The 15,667-nt window shown below is 50.3% G+C and overlaps 1 protein-coding gene and 1 long non-coding RNA gene across 4 annotated transcripts in view, besides 1 other annotated feature; one reads left to right on the top strand and one right to left on the bottom strand.

The window, feature by feature from the left end:
* TSPAN11-AS1 (TSPAN11 antisense RNA 1) overlaps positions 1-4,103 on the bottom strand; it is a 27,665-nt gene extending 23,562 nt beyond the window's left edge. The window contains exon 1 of the long non-coding RNA XR_007063261.1: positions 3,928-4,103. This is a non-coding gene — a long non-coding RNA (TSPAN11 antisense RNA 1). The remainder of the gene's footprint in view (positions 1-3,927) is intronic.
* Positions 1-14,633, top strand: part of TSPAN11 (tetraspanin 11) — an 89,755-nt gene extending 75,122 nt beyond the window's left edge. The window contains exons 8-11 of one of the 3 annotated variants that reach the window (XR_001748709.2): positions 3,105-3,173; positions 6,840-7,826; positions 10,837-10,887; positions 13,697-14,633. Coding sequence is in view for 1 of the 3 variants with exons in the window: in XM_011520679.3 (XP_011518981.1) it covers positions 2,517-2,723 (207 nt within the window). In the remaining 2 variants the exon portion in view is untranslated. Of the gene's footprint in view, positions 1-2,516; positions 2,758-3,104; positions 3,174-6,839; positions 7,827-10,836; positions 10,888-13,696 lie in introns of those variants that run through there. The other 2 variants (XR_001748710.2, XM_011520679.3) reach the window with 2 other exon arrangements.
* Positions 10,697-10,898: a silencer, noted in NCBI's record as "fragment chr12:31165500-31165701 (GRCh37/hg19 assembly coordinates)". NCBI's record gives its function as "represses an EF-1alpha promoter that drives an FKBP-Casp9 reporter gene in an ReSE screen in HepG2 liver carcinoma cells {active_cell/tissue: HepG2}" and the evidence as "EXISTENCE:reporter gene assay evidence [ECO:0000049][PMID:32094911]".
* Positions 14,634-15,667: the final 1,034 nt, after the last annotated feature.

A 15,667-nucleotide genomic window follows, 5' to 3' on the forward strand; every position in this document is an offset into this window, starting at 1 on the left:
GGCTCCGCTTGTGTGACTGGGGCCCAGTGCTAAGAGAGAGGCCGATGTTTTCCACTGCCCTGTGAGCCACAAGCACACAGGTGGGTCCACAGACCTGGTGGCAGGAGCCAAAGCAAGAACAAGCAGAGACAGGGTGGCTTCCACCAAAATTCCCATGACTTGGCTGGTCTTCCACAGATGATGGGGGTCACCTGCCCCTCTAACCAGTCCACATCCTGCAGCCACTGAGTCTGTCTCGGTAAATCTCCTGGGGAGGCTCTCAGGGACCTTGCTCCAGTGGGACCTGTGTCAGAGGGTCCCTTCAGACACAGAGTGGTCTCTGCAGGCTTTGGGACATGGCGGCTGCAGGATGGGGCCCTGGAGGCTGATGCCTTGGGACAATTTCACGTGGACCTGGCCACCCCCTTGAGGACAGGAGGTAGAGCTCCACACACAGAGGGGTTTCAAGATGCCCACTTCCAACTGCTGTCAGACCCACATGCACACTCGTTCTTTATGCCTGCCTCCTCTCCGGGGACATAGGGTTTAGCAATGACCCAGGACAAGGGGAATTCTCAGCTGCTCTCATCTACCATGTGTCACTGTGACTGTGACAGCCAAGGAAACCCCATACACCAGGACCCAACCAAGGCCACTGCGAGACTTCTACTGCAGTAGGGCAGTGGGATGCCTCTCAGACCCCGCCTCCTCAGAGTGCCCGTTTGGAGCAGGGACCCATCCTGGACTACTGCCTCACTGCAGCAGAGGGGCAGGCCAGACTCTGAGGGTCTGCGGGACAAAGAATGGACCCCAGGCACCTGGCACCCAGCTCCCATCCTGTGCCATGTCCCTGCTAGTTAGCACCTCCACCTATATAGGGGCCAGAGAGGAAGGGACAGTCACTTCCATCCACCTGAACTGCTCTTTGGCCACCAAAACCTGGAGGGATGGCCATCTAGTTTCAAGTCAAAATAGAACATCTACAAGAGGTTCTAGGGCAGGGCAGCAACCTCCCCAGAGAGCCCAAGATGCAGGCCCATGTTGGAAGGAGAGAGGGTGACACCGCTCCAGCTGCGGGCTGTGGGGAGGAGATTTGCACCCTGACACCCACTGCCAGCCGCCCGGAGGCAGTTCTCACCCCCTGCCTGCTCACCCCTTCTGTGAGATGGCTGCAAAGAAAGGCTGAGTCCACATCAGACATCCTACTGTAATCATCTACAAACTCAAAGGGACTTTCTGAGACAAGTTTGTAAATTGTTTGCATCAGACCTGATTGAACTAACTCTGATGTTGGCAAGGGAAGCAGACAGTGAGGGAATTCACTCAGGGGAATTCTGCCCCAATGAGATCATAGTCAGGAGACACAGAGGAGAGACACTTAGCCACCTTCACTGGCATCACAGGATGTGGCCCTCTGGGAGGTGTGGGGACCGTTCTGCAGGACAGGCAAGGGGCTTGGAGGAACATCTACTCTATGCATGGAGACTTCCACCTAATGTAGACTTGGCCAAATGATGAAACTGCCAAGCACTGGGTGAGCCAAGAAGGCAGTTTGAGGACCTGTGAACAAGGCTCTGCAAACGGACAGATGAGCTGGGGGGTGGCTGGGGGAGCAGACACTGCAGCAAAGGCTCCAGGGCCAGAGGATGCCCCTAAAGCACTCCAGAAACAAGACTTTCAGGGAGGCCACACATCTCCCAATGCACTGGACTGTTGCTGTTGATATTAACAAAAACTAAAAATTACATAAACAAACCTACCCACTCCACCCACATCAGAAACACATGATGCTCCAGGTCCCACTGGGTGACTTGAGCACTTGTTTGGTGAGCATCTGTCTACAGGAGTGTGTTTGCTCTGGAATCTGCACTTTGGGGTTCCCGGGGAGGACTCCTTACCAGCAAGACCGGCCAGAGGACTAGGGAAGGGCGGTTTTGCTCAAATGTGTGCCTCTCTCATATTCCATCAGCACCATGGCTCCTGTCTCAGAGAAGCTGTCTTTACCCCATCCAGCACCCTAAGACCAGCCTACTCCCCACTCCCACCTGCCAAAAATATGAATCCTGAACACATCAAAAGTTATATCCTCCTGGTCCCAATTTATATGTTACTTAAAGATGAAGAGAGGAGTGACTAGGAGCTGGGTGGCCATGACTCAGCCCTGGGAGCAGACAGGCAGGTGGAGGCTGGAGAAGAGACCTCGTCTGGCTGGGAAACCAGGGTATGGAGCCAACTGTAGGAAGAAGGGCTGCCACCCACCAATGCCCCAGCCAGCGACATGCACTGGATCCTGGCTAGTGGATAACCTTTGCATGCTGAGTCCCATAGATTCTTGACTTTTTCATAACTGCAAAACATTACACTAGACCAGCCTCAGTTCTGAGGGGTGCATCCTGCCATTGAATACCTGACCCTGCCTGTTCATCTCACACGTCCGGTTGTGTGCATGCCATGACTCCAGCTCTTTCTTCCTGGGGCTATGGTAGTCTAGGGCCAGTCTGATCTCTCTTGGGCTTTCTGTATTTCTTCTCTTTGAGATCACAGAGGATGTGATTGCCACCCACCCACTGCTGATGTCGATGAACCCTGGGAAGGAGATAGAGATCATAGGACCAAACTGGACATCTTTCCCTCCCTCTCAGCAAGGCAACCTGTGGCTGGGTGAAGCTGGCAGGAACAATCAGGGGCGCCACTTCCACTTGCCCAATGGGGTCCTCTGTCGCTGTCTGAGTAGCAAAACTTAAGGATGGCTTCCCAACCCAGAAGCAAGGGGAGAAAGTGAGTAGCATCCACACTAGAGAGAAATTTGAGAGTTTCTAGCAGGAATGTCTGTGAAAGGAACTGGGGTGTGCAGAGCCTGTCTCGAGAAGGCCCGCATGTGGTGGAAGGGGCGGCCTCCCATGCAGTGGAGGGCAGGAGGAAGGAAGAAGGAAAAACCCAACAACTGCTCCTCAGTGAAAAGCACAGGGACCTGCCAGCTCTGCTGCATTTCTGGCAAAGCACTTCACCAGCCCCCAGGGGACCCCCACTGCTCTGGCATCTGAGCTCTGTTAGCAAACACCATCACCCTGTGATGAGTTGCCTCTAGCCTCCTTCCCACTCCTCTCTCCACCTGCCTCTCCCAGGCTCCTGTCTGCAGATGCCAGGACTGGCAGGACCCCTGTGTCCTCTCCACGCATTCTGAGCGAAGGCTGGTGAGTCTCATCTGAGAGCCTTGTGGGGGTTGCATAGTGATTTGTCCTGACTGAGACTGAATGGGGGTCCTGTATTCCCACAGGTCCCCCACACTTAGGGAAAAAAGAAATTAAGCCATTAAAGAAATCAACACAGTAAAAAGTTATCAATCAGACAGCCAACGCTTAACTTACCTCAGAGGTAGTATTCCTGAACAATTAATCACAGTAAAATAAAGTTAAGAAGTTACACTGTAAGGTATAAAAAGCCTGGCGAGGTGCTCAAGGGATCTCGCCCAATAGCAGGCAGACCCCACCCTGCCAACTCCCCCACAGTGGCCACGGACAGCAGCAGCCTCCGCAAGGGTAGTCTCTCCACAGGCGGAAGCACTGTGCTGCCTACCCCATGGGGGGAACAAAATGTCAGTGTGAGGAAGGGCAGGAGACAGACACCCATCGGTGGTGGGGGTTCCTCCAGAGCACACCCCAGCCCACCCCATCATCTCTGGCAAATATGCAGACACAGACGCAGGCATCCAGGTGCCCCGTGCCCCAGGTCTCCCTGTGCCGACAACTCCTCCCCGCCCCTCCACCACTGAGAAGGCTGAGGCTGAGGCAGGGGTGGGTGGGCGCAGGGGTCATATCTGGAGAATGCAGGCTGGCAACACAAAGCTCAAATCCTCTGCCTCCACAGAGCATCCAGTAGAGGAGCGGGGAGTGGGGAGGGGCTTGTGGGGACACTCCGGCCAGCCCACACACACGTCCTACTTCTTACCAGTCCAGTGGATGTGCTGGGTGATGGTTATGGAGAAGGCCAAGCCCAGGATCTGAAAGACACATGGAAGGACCTTCTACAGGAGCTTCAGCACTTCAGCACTCTGGGCCTGACCTCTGCCCCACAAGTTGGGGTGTCACAGCGCTCCTAGTGCAAGTGGGAGTAGCCACTGGTGTGGTGGGAAAATGTCCATGGAATGGAGAAAATGGTGAGCAGAGGTCAGCCGGGTGTGGCAGGAAGGGAGAGGGAGGAACAGGGCAGGAGGACGCCCAGTACAGGAAGGAGGCAAGGCCTGTGGTAGCACAGCCAAAGCTCAGAGCCAGAGAGCTTAGCTGGTGGCATTCAGGAAAATTCCCTTTCAAAACCACAGAGTTGTCTCAGTGGCCATGGCCAAGCTATCATCTAGTCTATGGCAGGAGAATCTAGGGCGAGGCAGGGTGACTCAGGGGATCAGGCCCCAGCCAATGTCAGCACCAACCAACCAGAAGTCGCCAACCACCCCAGTGTGGTCCAGGCCTGATCAGTGCCCTTCTCCAAGCAGGGGCAGGCCTAGGGGCCAGCCTGAGTATCAAGCCTCCCCTGCCTGCTTTCCCAGTTGAGGGCATTTCAAACTAACTTTAATTCAGGGCTCCAAATAAACCCACATCGAAATTTGAGAAGATGAACTCCCATCCTCGCATTTGCTTATGGCCTCCTCAAGGGCCAGGATTTGGGTCTGTTGTACTTGTGGTTAAATCCCCAGACTGGGGCCTCACCCTTGGCAATTCCTTTGGGTTGTCCTCCTAGGATGATCCTGTCTGGGCCCTGCCCTGATTTTGCAGGAGGGAGAAGGTGCAGGCCCCTGGCATAGGGAGGAGCCCTGAGCCAATGGGCATCTCAGGTCTCCCTCATCACCACTGGCCCATTCAACACATGCACAGCAGGTAAACTGAGGCCAGTCAGGCTATGGCTGTATAGTGAGCCCGCACTTCAGACTCCTCATTTATTAATTCTTGTAATTAGCCCAGTATCCCTATGGCATTTTTTTCTTGTTTTGTTTGAACCATATTGAGTTGTAGTTTTAATATATGTTTCTGCCATAGGTATATTTCATGCAGACATCCCATTTCTCTGGGGGTGGGGCCCACGATTTCCCCTTGAAGCTACCCTCCCTCCTGAGCTTCTACCCGCACTTGCACGCTGCTTAGGACCCATGGACAGCCACTGCCCATAGCCGTTCATAGCTGCCACCAGTCTCCCATCGGTGTAGGGGGGGCCCCTCCCCAGGGGTGACCTCTTGTGCTGGGGCTGGGACCACAGCAGAACATTAGGAACCCTCCTAGGCTTCTGTGTAGACTCGCTGTCCACCCTCTCTAAAAACACGAGCATTTCCAAGACCTGGGTTCATATCTTACCCATTTTTTTTCCCCACTGTAAGGTCTAGAATATGCCTGGAATACCAGATAAATATTTGCTTGAGGAATGAATAAATGAGTGATGGGGACAGGTGGGGGTTCCTGAGCAGACCACAGCCCGGGTACAGGGCCACACCCAGACCCACAAACCCACAGAGAAAGCCCTCTGTGCACCCTATTTTCCCCACTCCCAGAAACCCCAGGGCCCCCAAATTACTCCCCTTTCAGTCACCCTTGGCTCCTCACTGACCTGGGATAGGTCGTCTGCCCTACCTGCCCCAGCCCCCATCACAGCCCATCATATCCCCTGGCTATTTTGGTCACCACTGCCTCATGCCTCTCTGTGGAGACAACCAGTCTCCTGGGGTTGGGTGTCACTGGTGGCCCCCACCCCGACCCCTTGGCCCCTCTGCCACCCTCATCCCCTCTTTGCTTCCAGGAGATTTTCAAATGCTAGGGCTCAGCACTCCCCGATGCTTTCTGTGGGCCAGGGCCAGGCCCAACATTTAATAACATTTAATAAATTAGTGAATGGGAAGACTTTTTTGTTTAAGGCTTTAATTTCACAGCCTGACATGCCTGCTAGTAATGAACCTGCCAAGAACTTCGTCTCGGGGAGCAGGGACAACATGTCAGTTCCAGGAGTGCCCCTGCTTTGACTTTCAGTGCCCCTTGCCCCCAGGGACCCCACAGCTCCTTCATTCTCACAGCCATAGAGGCGGGGGCCAGGGAGGAGGGAGAACTGGATGGTGCTTCCACTTCCACATGGAGAGACATGAAGGGGCAGAGGCATCTTGGTCAAAGCTACCCAGTAGGCAGAAGGGCCGCAGCTCCCTGGAACCACAGAGAGGCAGGTGGCCACACAGGGTCTCCCAGGGTCTGAGTGTTCACCCTCCAACAACTTATTCCATTTCTTTTTTCTTTTTTTTTTTTTTTTTGCATAACTTTACTCAAGAATTCTTTCTTATTACCTGAAGAATCTACTTCCCTGTGGCTAACACACATCAGTCCTAGTTTTGCTCAAGAAATCTACCAAGAACAAGTAAAACAGGCCTTTAAATATTTGAAGGTATGCATGGAACAATTCAGGTTCCTCTGCTGAAAGCTTCCTGTCCACAGTTTCCCCAGAGAAACATGTCCACAGTCACAGAGCTCCTTGTGGTACAGCCATGCCTGCTCCCAGAACCCAGAGCCCTCTTCCCTGTCCTTCCTCATTGGTGCTGTGCTGCTGTGGATGGTGCCTGCAGCCCCAGGCTAAATGCGCTAGGCTAAAGAGACCAGGCTGAAGCAGGGCAGCCATGAGTCAGGAGCTGGTAGTGGAGAGAGGTGAGGAGGTCCTGCCACTGCCCCAGCTGCTCCAGCCCCAGCCTGCACATCAGGGGGCCACTCTGCTGGCCTCCCGGAGCCCATCCACCCAGGACCAGCAGCAGCATCTGGCTAGACAGGCTCTACTCCCTCCACCATCCTCCTGGGAGGCAGCCCGCTTTTCCGATTTGCAGGCACGCTTTCTTTTGGCAGGGAGCTGCTGCCATCTGTGCTCTGGACCATAAAACAAGTTTTCGTCAATAAATTAAGATAGTGACTGAGATGAGAAGTCATTCTGCAACACAGAAGGGGCCAATGCGAATCTAAAGCAAGACTGGGTTCCCACCCATTTCCCTGAGTTCCCTGTGCGCCATTCGACCCAGGCTTCTAAGAGAAGGAGAGACTCGGAAGGTCACCTGCCTCCCTCTGGCCCCATTACATCCTTGAGGTGGGTAAGCCAAGGGTCACAGTGACAGGTAAGCCAGGCTTTCAGCAATGCTCTGAGCCAAAATAATGACCCCAATCGCTGTGTTAGACGAGCTAAATCACTCAGACACTGCCTGCCCAATGACTAACACTATAAAACCTCCCTGCAAATCAAAATGCTCTTCCCCTGGAGCCTCCCCGCTCTTCAGCATGAACCTTGGTTCTCGCAAATGCGCCTTCCACACCTCTGCCTCCAGACCCTGCTCACAGCACATCTTCCTACCCAAAAAGCCTTCCTTGTCTTCTCTGCCCTGTTCTCAATCCAATCCAGGGCCTTCAAGGCCAGCTGAAGCCCCACCTCCTCCTCCAGGCCTGCCGACCCCCTATTGCTCTGCAGTGGCTGCAACTGTCTGTACCCCTCATCAGCCTTAGAGCATTCTCCCACCCTGTGAGCACTGACCTTTTGCCGGGTGCCTGTTCTGGCTACAAATGGCTGCATGAGGGCAGGAGCCTCTGTTCAGACTTCTCTGTGCAGTGTCCTAGCATCAAGCATGATGCTGGGCACAGAGGGAATCTCGTTCATAAACAGCCAGATATGGGCTGTGTGAGCCATGAAGGAGGGAAGCAGCAAGCAAGACACGTTTTCAGCCCGGCAACAGAAGTGCCACCCCACCTTGGTGCGATGATACATGACCTCCTTCAGCCCGGCTTGTACAAGCCAGAGCAGATGGCAGGAGAGGGGCCATCTGTCCGTCCACCGCCACACAGAGAAAGGTGAGCCTCTCTGCATATGCTTATGAGTTAACAAACAAGTAGGCCTTTAGACGAAGCAGTGTCATAAGGCCAAACATCACGGCACCCTGACCACATGCTGCTAACGGGCCGCGTCATCCTGGGCATCATTCACTCCTCTAAGCCTTGGTTTTTCCATCTATAAAACAAAAAGTTGAAACTAATAATATCCAAAGCCCTTTCCAGCCCTAAGAGCCTATGACTGCTCTTCTATTTAGTCCTCCTTCTAGCTGTATGAGATAGGTAAGACAACTGTTATTAGTTTATTTTACAGATGAGCAGGCTGAGGCCTCTGAGGCTAAGTGACTTGCCCGCAGAGCTAGGAGCTGGAACCAGGCACTTCTGCCTCCGTAAGAGTGGCCCCACTTCTCTCAGGGAAGAGTGCAGGAAAGAAATGATGTCTACCAAGTGCTATGTGAGCTGGGCCTGAGAAGTGCTGTTATTTGCCCCTCACACCCTTGTGAGATGACATCATGATCCCCTGGTGCAGGAACCCAAGGCTCAGAGGTGTGACTTGCTCAGGGACCCCGGGGTCAAATTCTGATGCCATGTCACCACCCTACCTTGGGAGCTGACCATTTAAATACACATAAACAGAGACGGAGAAGATGGCAAAGTTTCAGGCCACATTGACATTAAATCACAACTACTAATTATACTCCAACCTGGATATAAATCAGAATCATTACTTCTGAGTTCAGGCACTTCCCATATGTGGAGTGAACAGAGTCATGTGAGGCCCTTGGTCAAGTGTAGGCTGGGGTAGGCTCAGGGTGGGCAACTTTAAAGCAGATCTCAGGCTGGGCATGGTGACTCACACCTGTAAGCTCAACTTAGGGAGGCTGAGGCAGGAGGATCACTTGAGTTCAGGTGTTTGAAACCAGCCTGGGCAACATAGTGAGACCCCATCTCTAAAAAGAAAAAAATTTTTAATTTACTGGGTGTGGTGACACGTGCCTGCAGTCCCAGCTACATGAGAGGCTGAGGTGGAAGGATCCCTTAAGCCTGGGAGGTCAAGGCTGCAATGAGCCATGATTATGCCAATGCACTCCAGCCTGGGTGGCAGAGTGAGACCCTGTCTCAAAAAAATAAATAAAATCAAAGTAGATCCCAACAGGCCCTCCCTCCACTCCTCCAACCCTTCATGAGAAAGATAAGCACTCCCACCACCAAGACCTGGAGGTGGGAAATGATGTTGTATTATAAAGATCGAACAGAGGGGTTAGGAGAGCACCTATGTTAAATTGTGAGCTGGCAAGAGGAGCTAAGAACAAAGTTCAATGAACAGAACAGAAACAGATTGACAACAGCAAAAAGAAACACTTACTGTACATTTTCATATAAGATCTGAGGAATAAATTTGTTCTTGCTCTTGCTTATTCAACAGAAACAACCAGGCCAGGTGCATTGTGGCTCATGCCTGTAATGCCAGCACTTTGGGAGGACGAGGAGGGCAGATCACCTGAGGTCAGGAGTTTGAGACCAACCTGGCCAACATGGTGAAACCCCATCTCTACTGAAAATACAAAAATTAGCCAGGTGTGGTGATGCATGCCTGTCATCCCAGCTACTCAGGAGGCTGTCTTTTAGGCAATGCAGAATACTCATGACTTATGTAGTCCCCCTGAAAGATTTAACCTGGCCTCCAAAGTCAAGATCAGGGGTGCCGCTGGGGAGCTTCTCTGACCTCCTGAAGGAATTAGTATCCAACTCAAGAAATGCCAATCAGCCAATGAGGCCACATTTAACCACTTCCATCCCTCCCAGCCCCAGCCAAGGCACTCCCAAAATCAAAAATTACACTAGAGGCAACTCTCACTGCAGCCCGGCATCAGCTACTTACAACCCACTCGCCTCCTGCGGGGAACCAGACACCTCCCATCACAGCGCATGCCAGCCACCAGGCCTATGGCCTTGCCCTCAGGGACTCTGTCACACTGCCCACAGTATGGGCACAGGACCCCTGTGCCACCAAAAAAAAAAGGAAAACCCATTGGTGATTCCATGAAACTAACACAGGCCCCCATGCTGTCCTCCCTATACCAGCTTACAAAGGCCACAAACCTTTGGGGTGGCACAGGGACAATCTCAGGTGTATGGCGGCAAAGGCTTGAGAAGGAAGAAAGTGCTAGAGAAAAGTTTAACAGAGCTGGGTTGGGCTCCTTTTTCAGTTGCCCTGGTCAGCTTCTCCCATTACTTGATGTGGGCTGTGGGTAGGGCCAGTCAGCTGCTGGGGAGATTCAAGCCCAGGTCAGTCCGGGGTCCCCGTCTCCTTAGACCACCTCTGCAAAGGGTTGGCATGCCACAGTCAGATGAGGTCCATGCACAGCTCACTCCAGGCTCACCTAACACAGCCTCTTTATAAAAAGCCCGAAGCTGGCGGGACAGACAGAGCCAGGCCTGATGGCCCAAGGCTGACTGTCCCTGCACCATCAGCCCTCCAGCCCAGCCACGTGCCTTGCTCCTCATTGTCTCTCCTGGCTGTGCACCGCTATTTTGGCCTCTGGGGGACAAAGCAGAGCTGAAGACTTGTAGCAGGGAACCCCCAGGATGGGGAGGCTGGCGCCAGAGCAGCTCTCCTGGTGGTGGGACAGCTGCTGCCCTCCCTCCAGCCTCTCCCCTGCCCCTTGGAAACCAATAAATACATTTCACACAACAGTCAACACACATGGTGCATGATGCATGTGTATCATACATAATGCACTGCACCTCTTCACCATGCTGGCACCTACTCCTCTGCTCCCCCTGCCGGCTTCCTCAGCCCCTTCTTCTACCCCGATGGTTCTCTCCTTGCCTGCTCAGGCCAGCACTTCCCATGATCTGAGATGTCCGTCCTCCTTCCTCTTCAACTTTTTCTCCAGCAGTGAGTTCCTCCTCCTAACTCAGGCTTCCAGGAAGGATATCCTTGGCTTCTCAGACCTGAACCTGCCTCGAATACTCATGAGGACCCAGGAGCTACTCCTCACCTCCCACTTCTCTTCTATCCTGTCAGATAACCAAGGCACGGCCAACTGATCCTCCACCATCCGAGGAACCCGATCGTGTGAGACCACCACACCCGTTTTCAGAATATTCTCCTTTCCCCTTCTTTGTATTTATACTGATGGAAATTTGCTGGTCATTCTAACTTAGTTCTGTGCCTCAGTTTTCCCATCTGTAAGATGAGGCGGAGGATAAAGATACAAGATATTTTCTGTGCACATCTTAACATGAATTTCTTGTTAGTTACCACATCTGAGGGTGTCTGTGTGTGTTTACTGTACTATCCACGTGAGAGGATTGTACAGACACAAATCTAAGCAAGGGAGTAGCAAGCCCATTCAAGCATTAAGAGACTGATGGGTGGTTTATTCATTCTGTCTGCAAACATCTACTGATCCTCTCTTCTGTGCAGACCATGATCACAACAAAGATGAATAAGACACTACACTACAGCCAGGGAAATAGCCACAAAAACAATTAAACTTTAATCCAGCCATGAGTACAATGATAAGGAGGGACAAATCCCTTCTAGGGTTAGGGAAGTCAGGAAAAGCCTCTTAGCAGAATGTGTGCCTCTCTACCAGGCCCAGGGAGAAGGTGCAGAGACAGCAGTCCAGGTAGGGAGCAGTGGCTCACACCTATAATCCCAGAAGTTTGGGAGGCCATGGTGGAAGAATCAAGACCAGCCTGGTCAACACAGACTCCTATCTCTACCAAAAAAAAAAAAATTTTTTTTAATTAGCTGGGCATGGTGGCACAGGTCTGTAGTCTCAGCTACTCAGGAGGGATGAGGTGAGAGGATCATCTGAGCCCCAGGAGGTCGATCCAGGCTGCAGTGAGCCATGATCATGCCAGTGTACTCCAGCCTGGGCAACAGAGTAAGATCCTGTCTCAAAAAACAAAACAAAACAAAACAAAACAAAACAAAACGAGGGAGCATCCCAGGTAAAAGAAACAGCTTGAACAAAGGTATGTAGTGAAACGGCAGGTGGTCTTGAGTGGTGGGAACACAGTCATCCTTGAGGAAGTACCAGGAAAAAGAATGATAAAGAGAGGCCAGTTTGTGAAAAACACCCAAAACCAAGGCTAGGAGTCTGGTCTTGAACCAGGAATGAAATCCTTAGACCTGTGCTGTCCAGTATGGTAGCCGCCAGGTACATGCAGCCACTCAGCATTGGAAATGTGGCTAGTCTAAATTGAGATGTGCTGTCAGTGTAAATACACACCGAATTTCAGACTTAGGAAAAAAGAACATAGACTATCTCATTAAAATCTATATTGATTACATGCTAAAATGACCATATTTTGGATATATTGGATTAAATAAAATATATCACTAATTTCTTCTGTTACTTTTTACTTTTAAAATCACTTACGTGATTTCCATATTTTTCTTTTCTTTTTGCCACACTCAGTGTCCTGTGATTCCAAAGAAATGAGTCCCAGTTCTTTTCAGGCAGGAGCTATCCTAGAATGGATTCTGGCATAAGCATCAAAATCAATCGTAACATTATCATTTTACAGCCCCTTCATTCTGTATCTGGTAGCTCTTAAACTATTATCATGAAGATAATCATTATTGTGCCTCTCTCAGCAGATGGTATTTCCTTATGCTACAATGGTACTACAAATATTGGCTCATAATACCCATGTATGTTAGAACCATTCTAACACCTTCTCAATAACTCTTCCATTTAACTCTTAATCACAGTGAATTTATTAATATCTCCAATGTTACATAAGGAAATGAAGTTGGAAAGACCACATGGCATTTTTTTTCAACATTGAAACCCTAGTTGAGATCAAGCCGAAACTTGAACCTATGTTGTCTGACTATAGGGCTTTTGTTATTTATCAGTATGTTTTATTGTTTTCACACATTAAAATTGCACAACTGGGAGTTCAAAATTTTTGTTAGTACTACCAATTTTAAGATACCTCATCATGATACTTTGTCTTTATGTAAACCTTAAAGGACAGATGTTTTCTTGATACTGACAGAACAAGGGAGTCTGACAGTAACCAGCCCCTCCTGTGTGGTCAACATTTTTGTTACTTTAGTATACATCATGTCAATTGTTTGTCTTTATAACAAACTTTGGAGTCATGTAGTAATATTTTTAGAAATTAGAAAATCCAGGCACAAAGGTTAATTGGCAATTATCTTTTGCAAAGCCTGTGGCGCTCATCTGAAAAGATGACAATCACTTCTTGTTTAGTGGAAAGACAATAAATAGTTGATAAATAATAGTCTTCCATCAGGGAGTTTTGTAATGAGAAACCCTGACTCCTCAGTTCCCCAGTGGATGACTGCAATTCACTCTCGGTCTTTGCTATTGTGTTACCTGCTTATCCATTTTGTTACCTTTTAATGCATTACATAAACGCATATTCTTTAATAATGGTGCTTTCCTCACATCTGTGCCATCCATGTTCATCAAGATCTTCTTTCAGTTTCTTTGACAACTAAAACTGTACATATGTATTGTGTATGGCGTAATATTTCTACTGCACAGCGTTGCTTTACACAATGTGGTAAAAACTATGGAGTCTCCCAGGAAAATGCACACACACCGTACCCCTGTCTCATAAGGCAGTTTATAATTTCCAAGTGCATGGAGCCCGTCCTGCACACCGCTCTCCCACACCCCGCTCCAGCGCCTCTCCCTGAGTTACAGACCTCACTGTGGGCCCCTGGGGAACCAGCGCAGAGGTTTAAGCGGTGTGGGGTCAACTCCAAGGGTCAGGAGTTGGCAACCGGTTTGTTCCCCGTATAATTGGTGCCCCCGACACAGCATCTCCCCGAACCAATAACAGAAGCTTCTGACTTCTTCGCCCACCCTTCTGACTTCTTCTTGCTTCTCCCATAGAAGCAGGTGTGGGAACCGCTGAGCAGCACATCCTCCCCCAGCAGGAAATCCGGGACACGCAGGAGCCTCAGTGAATCCGACCATTGTCTCATCTCACCAGGCAGATGCCTCCGTGAATCTGACCATAGTCTCACCTCACCAGGCAGGTGCCTCCTCCATCCTACCTGCGATCAACTTTATTACTACAATTATTAATATAAAGCCAGCAGCCATGTCCCAATATCAACCCCCATTATTTGTTTGACAGGCACTCGTTACTCCGGGAGGGTTGGCAGCTGCGGAAGAGCTGGGCGAGGCTTCCCAGAACCGGGGCCCCTGCCTTCCAGAACTGCCCCTGCCTTCCAGCCCTACACCCTGACCTGCTTTCCTGCTTCTCTCAGCACAACCAACACTGTCTTCACCTCTGCAGGCAGCTCCTCTGTGGCCCACTTAGTTCCTACCTGCCTTTAAAAATTAAATTAAAAAGCCAGGCATGGTGAGGCAGGAGGATAACCAGAGGCCAGGAGTTCGTGACCAGCCTGGGCAACATAACGAGACCACGTCTCTAAAAAAGTTTTATTTAAAAAAATTAAATAGAGAAGTCAGACGCAAAAGGACAGATATTGTATGAGTCCACTTATGTGAGGTGCCTGGAACAGTCAGATTCATAGCAGCAGAAGCAGTGGCCGCCAGGGATGGGGACGCAAGGCGGGAGTTGGGCAGCTTGTGTTTCATGGGTGGAGTTTGAGGTTGGGATGATGGAAAAGTCCTGGAAATGGCTGGTGGCGACAGCTGCACAGCAGTGTGATGTGCTAACACCACTGAACTGTGTGCTTCAAAATGGTTTCCACGGTAAATTTTAGCTTAGGTTTATTTTACCACAATAAAGAGCTAGGAAAAGCTGGTAGAAAGAAAAGAAAAGGAAAGGAAAGGAGAGGAGAGGAAAGGAGAGGAGAGGAGAGAAGAGAAGAAAGGAATGAAGGAAGGAAGGGAGCCAGGGAGGAAGAGAGGGAAGGAGGGTGGAAAGAGGCTAAAAACCGTTAAGTGTTATAAAGGGAGCATGGGCCCAGAAGCCCAGCAATAGTCCCTCCTGGAATCCATTGGCTTGCCTCAAGAGTGTCTGAGCCTTCTCTTTTAGGGTTACCAGATAAATGCAGGATGCACAGTTAATATGCATTGGAGAAAATATTAATTTATTATTAGATAATACATAATTTCTTTAGCATAAGCATGTCCTGTGCCATGTTTAGTTAAGGGCATACTTATGCTAAAAAATTATTTCTTCTTATCTGAAATTCAGAATTAACTAGGCATTTTATATTTTTATTTGCTAAATCTGGCTACCCTATTCTCTTCGTAATATTCTTCAACTCTCCCAGCTTTGCCCTCCTTCCCTGTCCGCTCTTCTAGGGGAGTCGGATCGAGTTGTAAGGAGAACATGCCCACTGTCTTGATGGCTGCAGTGTGTGGTCCCCACAGGTGGTGAGGAAGAGATGGGTTTCCACCCATGCTGTACACGGAATGTTTGTGTCCTCCCCAAATTCCTATGTTGAAGCCCTAACCACCAATGTAATGGTATTTGGAGATGGGCCTTTGGTAGGTAATTAGGGTTATATGAGGCCATGGGGTGGGGCCCTCATGATGGATCTGGTAAGAAAAGAGAACAGTGTCTCTCTCTACCCACCAAGTGAGGACACAAAGAGAATGTGGCTGCGTGCAAACCAGGAGGAGAGCCCTCACCAGGAACCAATCTAACTGACACCTTGAACTTGGACTTCCAAACCTCCAGTACTGTGAAAAATAAATGTATGTTTTTAAAGTCATCTAGTCTACACTATTTTGGTTTGACTAATACAACCTGAAAATACATTTTCCCCTCACCCTACCTGAGCAATATCTAAGTTGCTTAAGGCACCCAGGGCACATCAGAGGAGAAATGTCCCATGCACAAGGCACAGCCATGCCCAGGAGAAGCAGCCCGGCACAGAAGGG

Source organism: Homo sapiens, chromosome 12, assembly GCF_000001405.40.
Source record: "Homo sapiens chromosome 12, GRCh38.p14 Primary Assembly".
Taxonomy (NCBI): domain Eukaryota; kingdom Metazoa; phylum Chordata; class Mammalia; order Primates; family Hominidae; genus Homo; species Homo sapiens.